Raw genomic sequence first — 12436 nt, 5'->3', positions numbered from 1 at the left:
TCATGAATATACATTCGTTTCATCAATAAACACACATTTACTCTACTGTTCTGCAAACTCAGTGTTTTCATCACTGTACCTTTAGAATGTCTTGAAATCCTCAAGTGTGAATTCTCCAACTTGTTCTTTTCAAAATCGTTTTGGCTATTCCTGTTGATTTGCTCTCTAATATAAATTTCAGTATCTGCTTGTGGATGTCACCATCCACAAAAGAGCTTACTAGAATTTTTATTGAGATTAGAATTAAACTATAGATTGATTGAAAAAAAATAATATTTTAGAAGTATTGTGTCTTCTGCTCCATGAACACTGCATATTGCTCCCTTTATGTATCCTTTGATTTACTTTATGCAAATTTTGTAGTTTTTAGCATACATATTATATGTATATTTTTGGTTTTAAAGTGGATTTTTTTTAAATTCCAATTGTTCGTTGCTATTACATGGACATGCAATTAACTTTTGTACGTTCATCTTATATCGTGAAACTGTTCTGAACCTACTAGTTCTTGGAATGTTTGTAGATTTTTTGAAACTTTCCAAACTCTGGAGTCAATCAATCTGTAAATAGAAGTAATTTTACTTCTTTCTTTTCAATTTATATGCATTTGTTTATAGGTAGAGAATAAATAGACTGAATAAATCTATATGCTCATTTTCTTTGCTAATATTATGTTGAAGATATTTATGTCTATACTCATAAAACATAGTCTTTAGCATGTGTTTCTTGTACAGTCAGTGCCTGGCCTTAGGATAGTCCAGACCTCATATTTGACTTTAGAAGTGTTCTTTCCCCTTCTAATGCATTTATAAATTTTATGTATTTTTTCATCATTATTTCAAAGACCAAATTTCAGCCTTATAACAGCCATTTTAAATATATAAAAGAGAATCTCTGATTCTATTTTACAGATAAAAAATGGAACCTCCAAGGATAAAGTGATCTACCCAAATTTTAAAAGCTAGGATAGGATAGGAAGTGACCCTTTAAAAGTTCTTCTATTTACAAACTTAGTACTTTTTCAGCACACACATATTTTTATGTGGTAGCATACATGAGAAGTGTAAATATGGACTTCAACCAAACTTTCATTAAATATTTATTCATAATATTTTTCCAGCTATATAAAGGTATAACTGAAAAATAGAAATTCTATATATTTATTGTACACAACATTATGTTTTGGGTATATGTATACATTGTGAACTGATTACCACAATCAAGTTAAATAACATATCAGCTCACATGATGACCTTTGAGGGCATGGATGGTCAAAACATTTAAGATATTTTGGACACCAGAGAAGATGGCCGAATAGGAACAGCTCCGGTCTACAGCTCCCAGCGTGAGCGACGCAGAAGACGGGTGATTTCTGCATTTCCATCTGAGGTACCGGCTTCATCTCACTAGGGAGTGCCAGACAGTGGGCGCAGGTCAGTGGGTGCGCGCACCGTGCGTGAGCTGAAGCAGGGCGAGGCATTGCCTCACTCGGGAAGCGCAGGGGGTCAGGGAGTTCCCTTTCTCAGTCAAAGAAAGGGGTGATGGACGGCACCTGGAAAATCTGGTCACTCCCACCCGAATACTGCGCTTTTCCGACAGGCTTAAAAAACAGTGCACCACGAGATTATATCCCACACCTCGCTCCGAGGGTCCTACGCCCATGGAGTCTCGCTGATTGCTAGCACAGCAGTCTGAGATCAAACTGCAAGGCGGCAGCGAGGCTGGGGGAGGGGCGCCCGCCATTGCCCAGGCTTGCTTAGGTAAACAGAGCAGCCGGGAAGCTCGAACTGGGTGGAGCCCACCACAGCTCAAGGAGGCCTGCCTGCCTCTGTAGGCTCCACCTCTGGGGGCAGGGCACAGACAAACAAAAAGACAGCAGTAACCTCTGCAGACTTAAATGTCCCTGTCTGACAGCTTTGAAGAGAGCAGTGGTTCTCCCAGCACGCAGCTGGAGATCTGAGAACGGGCAGACTGCCTCCTCAAGTGGGTCCCTGACCCCTGACCCCCGAGCAGCCTAACTGGGAGGCAACCCCCAGCAGGGGCACACTGACACTTCACACAGCAGGGTACTCCAACAGACCTGCAGCTGAGGGTCCTCTCTGTTAGAAGGAAAACTAACAAACAGAAAGGACATCCACACCAAAAACCCATCTGTACATCACCATCATCAAAGACCAAAAGTAGATAAAACCACAAAGATGGGGAAAAAACAGAACAGAAAAACTGGAAACTCTAAAAAGCAGAGCGCCTCTCCTCCTCCAAACGAATGCAGTTCCTCACCAGCAACGGAACAAAGCTGGTTGCAGAATGACTTGGACGAGCTGAGAGAAGAAGGCTTCAGACGATCAAATTACTCTGAGCTACAGGAGGACATTCAAACCAAAGGCAAAGAAGTTGAAAACTTTGAAAAAAATTTAGAAGAATGTATAACTAGAATAACCAATACAGAGAAGTGCTTAAAGGAGCTGATGGAGCTGAAAACCAAGGCTCGAGAACTACATGAAGAATGCAGAAGCCTCAGGAGCTGATGCAATCAACTGGAAGAAAGGGTATCAGCGATGGAAGATGAAATGAATGAAATGAAGCGAGAAGGGAAGTCTAGAGAAAAAAGAATAAAAAGAAATGAGCAAAGCCTCCAAGAAATATGGGACTATGTGAAAAGACCAAATCTACGTCTGATTGGTGTACCTGAAAGTGATGGGGAGAATGGAACCAAGTTGGAAAACACCCTGCAGGATATTATCCAGGAGAACTTCCCCAATCTAGCAAGGTAGGCCAACGTTCAGATTCAGGAAATACAGAGAACGCCACAAAGATACTCCTCGAGAAGATCAACTCCAAGACACATAATTGTCAGATTCACCAAAGTTGAAATGAAGGAAAAAATGTTAAGGGCAGCCAGAGAGAAAGGTCGGGTTACCCTCAAAGGGAAGCCCATCAGACTAACAGGATCTCTCAGCAGAAACCCTACAAGCCAGAAGAGAGTGGGGGCCAATATTCAACATTCTTAAATAAAAGAATTTTCAACCCAGAATTTCATATCCAGCCAAACTAAGCTTCATAAGTGAAGGAGAAATAAAATACTTTACAGACAAGCAAATGCTGAGAGATTTTGTCACCACCAGGCCTGCCTTACAAGAGCTCCTGAAGGAAGCACTAAACGTGGAAAGGAACAACCAGTACCAGCCACTGCAAAATCATGCCAAAATGTAAAGACCATCGAGACTAGGAAGAAACTGCATCAACTAACAAGCAAAATAACCAGCTAACATCATAATGACAGGATCAAATTCACACATAACAATATTAACTTTAGATGTAAATGGACTAAATGCTCCAATTAAAAGACACAGACTGGCAAATTGGATAAAGAGTCAAGACCCATCAGTGTGCTGTATTCAGGAAACCCATCTCACATGCAGAGACACATGTAGGCTCAAAATAAAAGGATGGAGGAAGATCTACCAAGCCAATGGAAAAAAAAAAAAGGCAGGGGTCGCAATCCTAGTCTCTGATAAAACAGACTTTAAACCAACAAAGATCAAAAGAGACAAAGAAGGCCATTACATAATGGTAAAGGGATCAATTCAACAAGAAGAGCTAACTATCCTAAATATATGTGCACCCAATACAGGAGCACCAAGATTCATAAAGCAAGTCCTGAGTGACCTACAAAGAGACTTAGACTCCCACACATTAATAATGGGAGACTTTAACACCCCACTGTCAACATTAGACAGATCAACGAGACAGAAAATCAACAAGGATACCCAGGAATTGAACTCAGCTCTGCACGAAGCGGACCTAATAGACATCTACAGAACTCTCCATCCCCAATCAACAGAATATACATTTTTTTCAGCACCACACCACACCTATTCCAAAATTGACCACATACTGGGAAGTAAAGCTCTCCTCAGCAAATGTAAAAGAACAGAAATTATAACAAACTGTCTCTCAGACCACAGTGCAATCAAACTAGAACTCAGGATTAAGAATCTCACTCAAAACCGCTCAACTACATGGAAACTGAACAACCTGCTCCTGAATGACTACTGGGTACATAACGAAATGAAGGCAGAAGTAAAGATGTTCTTTGAAACCAACGAGAACAAAGACACAACATACCAGAATTTCTGGGATGCATTCAAAGCAGTGTGTAGAGGGAAACTTATAGCACTAAATGCCCACAAGACAAAGCAGGAAAGATCCAAAATTGACACCCTAACATCACAACTAAAAGAACTAGAAAAGCAAGAGCAAACACATTCAAAAGCTAGCAGAAGGCAACAAATAACTAAAATCAGAGCAGAACTGAAGGAAATAGAGATACACAAAACCCTTCAAAAAAATTAATGAATCCAGGAGCTGGTTTTTTGAAAGGATCAACAATATTGATAGACTGCTAGCAAGACTAATAAACAAAAAAAGAGAGAAGAATCAAATAGACACAATAAAAAATGATAAAGGGGATGTCACCACCGATCCCACAGAAATACAAACTACCATCAGAGAATACTACAAACACCTCTATGCAAATAAACTAGAAAATCTAGAAGAAATGGATAAATTCCTGGACACATACACTCTCCCAAAACTAAACCAGGAAGAAGTTGAATCTCTGAATAGACCAATAACAGGAGCTGAAATTGTGGCAATAATCAATAGCTTACCAACCAAAAAGAGTCCAGGACCAGATGGATTCACAGCCGAATTCTACCAGAGGTACAAGGAGGAACTGGTACCATTCCTTCTGAAACTATTCCAATCAATAGAAAAAAAGGGAATCCTCCCTAACTCATATTATGAGGCCAGCATCATTGTGATACCAAAGCCAGGCAGAGACACAACAAAAAAAAGAGAATTTTAGACCAATATCCTTGATGAACATTGATGCAAAAATCCTCAATAAAATACTGGCAAAACGAATCCAGCAGCACATCAAAAAGCTTATCCACCATGATCAAGTGGGCTTCATCCCTGGGATGCAAGGCTGGTTCAATATACGCAAATCAATAAATGTAATCCAGCATATAAACAGAGCCAAAGACAAAAACCACATGATTATCTCAATAGATGCAGAAAAAGCCTTTGACAAAATTCAACAACCCTTCATGCTAAAAACTCTCAATAAATTAGGTATTGATGGGATGTATCTCAAAATAATAAGAGCTGTCTATGACAAACCCACAGCCAATATCGTACTGAATGGGCAAAAACTGGAAGCATTCCCTTTGAAAACTGGCACAAGACAGGGATGCCCTCTCTCACCACTCCTATTCAACATAGTGTTGGAAGTTCTGGCCAGGGCAATTAGGCAGGAGAAGGAAATAAAGGGTATTCAGTTAGGAAAAGAGGAAGTCAAATTGTCCCTGTTTGCAGACGACATGATTGTATATCTAGAAAACCCCATTGTCTCAGCACAAAATCTCCTCAAGCTGATAAGCAACTTCAGCAAAGTCTCAGGATACAAAATCAATGTACAAAAATCACAAGCATTCTTATACACCAACAACAGACAAACAGAGAGCCAAATCATGAGTGAACTCCCATTCACAATTGCTTCAAAGAGAATAAAATACCTAGGAATCCAACTTACAAGGGATGTGAAGGACCTCTTCAAGGAGAACTACAAACCACTGCTCAAGCAAATAAAAGAGGATACAAACAAATGGAAGAACATTCCATGCTCATGGGTAGGAAGAATCAATATCATGAAAATGGCCATACTGCCCAAGGTAATTTACAGATTCAATGCCATCCCCATCAAGCTACCAATGACTTTCTTCACAGAATTGGAAAAAACTACTTTAAAGTTCATATGGAACCAAAAAAGAGCCCGCATCGCCAAGTCAATCCTAAGCCAAAAGAACAAAGCTGGAGGCATCACACTACCTGACTTCAAACTATACTACAAGGCTACAGTAACCAAAACAGCATGGTACTGGTACCAAAACAGAGATATAGGTCAATGGAACAGAACAGAGCCCTCAGAAATAATGCCGCATATCTACAACTATCTGATCTTTGACAAATCTGAGAAAAACAAGCAATGGGGAAAGGATTCCCTATTTAATAAATGGTGCTGGGAAAACTGGTGAGCCATATGTAGAAAGCTGAAACTGGATCCCTTCCTTACACCTTATACAAAAATCAATTCAAGATGGATTAAAGACTTAAACGTTAGACCTAAAACCATAAAAACCCTAGAAGAAAACCTAGGCATTACCATTCAGGACATAGGCATGGGCAAGGACTTCATGTCTAAAACACCAAAAGCAATGGCAACAAAAGCCAAAATTGACAAATGGGATCTAATTAAACTAAAGAGCTTCTGCACAGCAAAAGAAACTACCATCAGAGTGAACAGGCAACCTACAAAATGGGAGAAAATTTTCACAACCTACTCATCTGACAAAGGGCTAATATCCAGAATCTACAATGAACTCAAACAAATTTACAAGAAAAAAACAAACAACCCCATCAAAAAGTGGGCAAAGGACATGAACAGACACTTCTCAAAAGAAGGCATTTATGCAGCCAAAAAAACACATGAAAAAATGCTCATCATCACTGGTCATCAGAGAAATGCAAATCAAAACCACAATGAGATACCATCTCACACCAGTTAGAATGGCGATCATTAAGAAGTCAGGAAACAACAGGTGCTGGAGAGGATGTGGAGAAATAGGAACACTTTTACACTGTTGGTGGGACTGTAAACTAGTTCAGCCATTGTGGAAGTCAGTGTGGCGATTCCTCAGGGATCTAGAACTAAAAATACCATTTGACCCAGCCATCCCATTACTGGGTATATGCCCAAAAGACTATAAATCATGCTGCTATAAAGACACATGCACACGTATGTTTATTGCGGCATTATTCACAATAGCAAAGACTTGGAACCAACCCAAATGTCCAACAATGATAGACTGGATTAAGAAAATGTGGCACATATACACCATGGAATACTATGCAGCCATAAAAAATGATGAGTTCATGTCCTTTGTAGGCACATGGATGAAACTGGAAATCATCATTCTCAGTAAACTATCGCAAGAACAAAAAACCAAACACCGCATATTCTCACTCATAGGTGGGAATTGAACAATGAGATCACATGGACACAGGAAGGGGAATATCACACTCTGGGGACTGTTGTGGGGTGGGGGGAGGGGGGAGGGATAACATCGGGAGATATACCTAATGCTAGATGACGAGTTAGTGGGTGCAGCGCACCAGCATGGCACAAGTATACATATGTAATTAACCTGCACAATGTGCACATGTACCCTAAAACTTAAAGTATAATAAAAATAAAAAAAATTTAAAAAAAATGACACCAGAAAAAAAAAACATTTAAGATATTTTAAAATTAATTATATGCACAATATTTAAATGCATATTATATATGCATGAATATGTATACAATAAAGCATTATGAAGTTATTTATGAAAATGAGTATTTAAAATTCTGAATAATTTTTTAAAATTAAATTTATAACAAAACAACTTTAAGTATCTAATTGTAAATTGTTTATTGTATAAATTAGTGGCATCTATGGTTAGAGAAACATGGTGATGTTCTTTTTTAAAATAAAATTTGAGCTGAAACTTAAAGATAGTTCATATTTCTCTAAGTGGCAGTGATTCGATATGAGTGTATTATTGTTTCAGTAGCCAGGCAACATTATGGCCTTGAGCTATTCTAATTCTCAAAACATAGTTTAGGGCTTCTCAATTCCCCTGAGACTTTATTATTTCTAATAATCAGCTTTCCAGAGTTATATTACCATTACATAGCTTCATTTATATGTGAGACGTATTTAGCTCTCAAATAGCAAAATTTTACAATGGTTTGTCAGATGCTCCCTAGTGAGTTTAAATAATAATAATTTGAAGAATAATAAGAAAATCAGAATATTTCTTCCAAAATTAGCTTCAATCTCTGTTAAATTAGCCTCCAAGAAAAGAAAACAGCAACAACAACAAAAAAGAGTCATAAATAGTGATGCAAACGTATAGGACTGGGTTTATCTACAATTTCAAATACAGTACATTTCAGTTTAATGGCACCTTGAAAATTTTTAATAGCAATTCAAAATGATTTCCTCAATCAGACATTTTATATTTTTGGTAAATTGTGGAATGTTATTTTCCTCTTCTAAAACCACTCAGAACAATTCTCCTTCATAAATGCAAACTATTATCCATTTTTAATCATTTACAAATTATACAATTGTGTCACTGCAAATTTATTTTTCTAAAGATTGCTCTTCAATTCCAAGTTTCTGTCACATAGAAAATTAATCACATTGATCAAGACCGTAATAATTACTTTGAAAGGCTTTGCCTAAATCTTGCTAAATAATTGCAAAGAGCTGATTCTTCATGTTTTTTTTTAACCAACACATACTAGAGAAAAATGCTTAAAGAGAGATCTTACACATAAACCATATTAAATGGGTAACTATCAGAATTCCAGTAATTCCTTAAGTGGTTTTTTAAGAAAACATCTGAAATCTTAGTGATAAATAAAGCATCTAACAATGAAGGCATTTCCTAAACTATTTCTCAAATAAAAACAACCCCTCAAAAAAGGAAAGAAAAAGACGTGTAAAATTAGAGAGGAAAAAAGCTAAAACTGGAAGGAGGAAAATAAGTGAGCTAAGAATAAAGAGGAAGAGGAAAATAACGGCAGGAATGATGGAAGAAAGGGAAGAAACAGCTATCATGTTTGCAGCTGTTAGTTTTCTTCCATCTTAAGCCATTCCTAGTCAACAACTTTGCTGGACCTTCCTCACCGTCTAACCCTTAAAATATGGAGTCCCATAGGCTTCATTTTGTAATTCCTTTGCTTAAACTACACAGACTGCTCACATGACCTCCACCACTCTCATGGATATAAAAACCACTATATGCTATTTACTTCCAAATTACATCCCCAGTTTATACCAATCCACTTAACAGCCTACTGACTTATCAGTTCCACCTAGATATCTAAAATTAACCTTCTGTGGGACATGGTGGTTCACGCCTGTAATCCCAGAACTTCTAGAGGCCGAGGTGGGCGGATCACCTGAGGTCAGGAGCTTGAGACCAGCCTGGCCAATATGGTGAAACCCCGTCTTTACCAACAATAGAAAAAAATTACAGACATGGTGGCGTGTGCCTGTAGTCCCAGCTACTTGGGAGGCTGAGGCAGAAGAATCGCTTGAACCCGGGAGGTGGAGGTTGCAGTGAGCCCAGCTGGTGCCACTGCACTCCAGCCTGAGCAACAAGAGTGAAACTCTGTCTCAAAAATAATAAAATAAAATAAAATAAAATAAACCTTCTGTTTCCCACCCACAAACCTGCACTTCGGTCTTTCTCATCTCGATATAGAGTATCTGTTCAACAGGAGGAAAACTCTCACACATATTTAGAGGTCTCCTTGGTTATTTTCTTGCTTTTCTGCATCACTTGTAATGCAGCACAACTGATGTTGACTCTGCCTTCAAAATCTATCCAGTAAAAAATGTTTTCTCATTCTCAGCAGAGCCGTCAGAATACCACTTCTAAAATATCTGACAGATATTCTGCTTAAAATCGGTCAGCGGTGTCCATTCATTCTGAATAAATGTCAAAGGCCTTACAGCAGTTCCTTAGGTCCTCCATGTTCTGGCTCCCAACCACCTCCCCTCTTTATCGCATATCATAATCCCCATACTCACAGTACTCTGTTCAAATTTGATTTTAACAGAGGGTTTTCCCCAGATATTGAATGTAAAATAGCACTCTCTCACTACTTTAATGCACCATATTCTGCATCTGGTTTTATCTTTGTCCACAGCACTATCACCACATATCTTATAGTTATTTATATTCTGCCATTGCCTGCTACAACATGAGCTCAAAGCTGAGACTTGCCTATTTTATTCACTATACCTTGATAATTTCTCATGGAAACCATTAAAAATATTCATAATACTCACCTATCTCAACTCTACCAGAAGTCTAAGTCTCCTAAGGTATGCATTATTTTCTTTTATCTCATTCTACATATTTTTTATCATCCCCTTCTCACTCCTCTTCCCTTCCTTCCAAACTTGCTCCACTATGCCCCAGGAAATTCCTGTTTTTGACCAGATCATTCTATCAATCTTCATCTTCTTTCATAGCATTTTTTCTCCCATCTTAATTGATAAGGGAGTTTCTTCTCTTAAGTGTAACCTGATTATTTACCCTCATGCCATGTACATCAAACTTGTAAAGTAGGGTTAGTGTTCCTGCAATTCAGGGTTACCTCCAAACCACTTGTTTCCTCTGCTTGTAAAAGTCCTTCATTAAGTCCATGACATTCAGCTTTGCCATCATCTTTGCATTCGGGGGTAGGGGGTTAACCATAGACTCTCTTATCTTTTTCAACATTATATTATTACTAACCTTTCTATTCTTTGTAAACTTCAACTTACATATGATTAGTTCACCCTGCCCACTTGCCTCTAAGTTCCTTGACTTCTAGATCTCTAATGACCTTTATCTCCTTTTCATCCAATTATATTTTCATATTATATCATAAACCTTATAATTAGCAAAAATTGTATTACCTTCAAAACCTATTTTTACTTGAAAAATCTTCAAATATAACCTATTTCTTATACAAGCATTAACTGTATTAATCACTTGACACCACTGAGATCTTCAATTTCCTTCAAAAATTTACAAATTGCAACTTATCTTTTTCACAATCACATGGAAATTTTTCTTTCCTGGAGGAACTTACCAATCTTTTTCATACATGCAGATATGTAGAAAATTTTGCAGGGGAAATCACACCCTACACAAAATGGTCTCACCATATGCTCATGATCGCCAATTTCCATGGACACTCAGTACCGCTTAGTAACCTTATTTTCTTTCTCTACAGCATCTGCTCTTACTCTCTATGATAACTATTTTTTATATTTCTCACTTATTAGTCTTCTCATGCATCATTTAGCTTCTGACCTTGTCTTATATTTCCTAAGCAATTCATAAGCCTTAACATTTTTTTCTGTTACTTTACACTACCAAATACACAGCTATACCTCTTTTATTATTTGAATAAATTACAATAGCATTGCAAAGACTACGTGGCTCTCTGCTTATCAAACGTAAGTATCTTGTGCTATGGATGCAAAGATTTTAACACTTCTGTTATACATTTTCACTTTTTTTTTCCATGACAGAGATTCGCTCTGTCACCCATGCTGGAGTGCAGTGGCCATTCTCGGCTTACTGCAACCTCTGCCTCCCAGGGTCAAGAGATTCTCTAGCCTCAACCTCCCGAGTGGTTGGGATTACAGGTGCACACCACGACGCCCAGCTAATTTTTGTATTTTTAGTACAGACAGGGCTTCACCATGTTGGCCAGGCTGGTCTTGAACTTCTGACCTCTTGATCCGCCCTCCTGGGGCTACCAAAGTGCTGGGATTACTGCCATGAGCCACCGCACCCAGCCACATTTTCATTTTTAAACTATCAATCCCTCTTATTCTCCAGAATAGACTATTATTAGCTTACAGGCACGCTTTTGCTGGTATATAGACTCTACCTTGACACTTCGGTTGTTCCACATCCCATTTTTCTATAATTGCTTCAAAACAAACATTTCCAAAGAAACTTTTCATTCTGTCACGTTTTTATTCTTAAACTCAATACATGCATTTCTGCCCTTACCACATTCCTACAACTTCTCTTGTGAAAGTTGTTAATGGTCTTCATGGCTCCAATTCTTTTTCTTCAACTTTTATTTTAGCTTCAGGGGTACATGTGCAGGTTTATTACCTGGGTATATTGCATGATGCTGAGGTTTAGGGTATGAGTGATCCCAGGTATTGATCATAGTATCCAACAGTTAGTTTTTCAACTCTTGCCCTCCTCACTTCCTCTCCCATCTAGCAGTCCTCAATTTCTATTGTTGCCATCTTTATGTTCTTGTGTATCTAATATCTAGCACCCACTTATAATTGAGAACATGTGGTATTTGGATTTCTGTTTCTGCATTCATTTGCTTAGGATAATGGCCTCTAGCTGCATCCATGTTGCTGCAAAGAATATCATTTTGTCCTCTTTTATGGCTGCATAGTATTGCATGATGTATGTATACAACATTTCCTTTATCCAGTTCACCAGTGATGGGCATTTAAGTTAATTCCATGTCTTTGCTAGTGTGAATGGTGCTGCAAAGAATATGCAAGTGTATGTGTCTTTGGTAGAATAATTTGTTTCCTTTTGGATATACACCTAGCAATGGGATTGCTGGGCCTAATGGTAGTTTTGAGTTCTTTGAGAAATCTCCAAACTGCTTTCTACAGGGGCTGAACTAATTTACATTCCAACTAAGAATGTGTAAGTATTTTCTTTCCTCTGAAGGCTGGTCAGCATCTGTTATTTTTTGGCTTTTTAATAATAG

At 38.1% G+C, this 12436-nt stretch overlaps 2 annotated features.

Annotated features, from left to right (window-relative positions):
• Positions 1005–1624: an enhancer, noted in NCBI's record as "OCT4-NANOG-H3K27ac-H3K4me1 hESC enhancer chr4:171709833-171710452 (GRCh37/hg19 assembly coordinates)". NCBI's record gives its function as "activates a minimal SCP1, AML or CMV promoter by ChIP-STARR-seq in primed H9 embryonic stem cells {active_cell/tissue: H9 hESC(primed)}" and the evidence as "EXISTENCE:reporter gene assay evidence [ECO:0000049][PMID:30033119]".
• Positions 1625–2245: an enhancer, noted in NCBI's record as "OCT4-NANOG-H3K27ac-H3K4me1 hESC enhancer chr4:171709212-171709832 (GRCh37/hg19 assembly coordinates)". NCBI's record gives its function as "activates a minimal SCP1, AML or CMV promoter by ChIP-STARR-seq in primed H9 embryonic stem cells {active_cell/tissue: H9 hESC(primed)}" and the evidence as "EXISTENCE:reporter gene assay evidence [ECO:0000049][PMID:30033119]".

This window comes from Homo sapiens, chromosome 4 (assembly GCF_000001405.40).
Source record: "Homo sapiens chromosome 4, GRCh38.p14 Primary Assembly".
Lineage (NCBI taxonomy): Eukaryota > Metazoa > Chordata > Mammalia > Primates > Hominidae > Homo > Homo sapiens.
The sequence above is the reverse complement of the archived record's forward strand: the minus strand, read 5'-3'. Positions and strand labels throughout refer to the sequence as shown.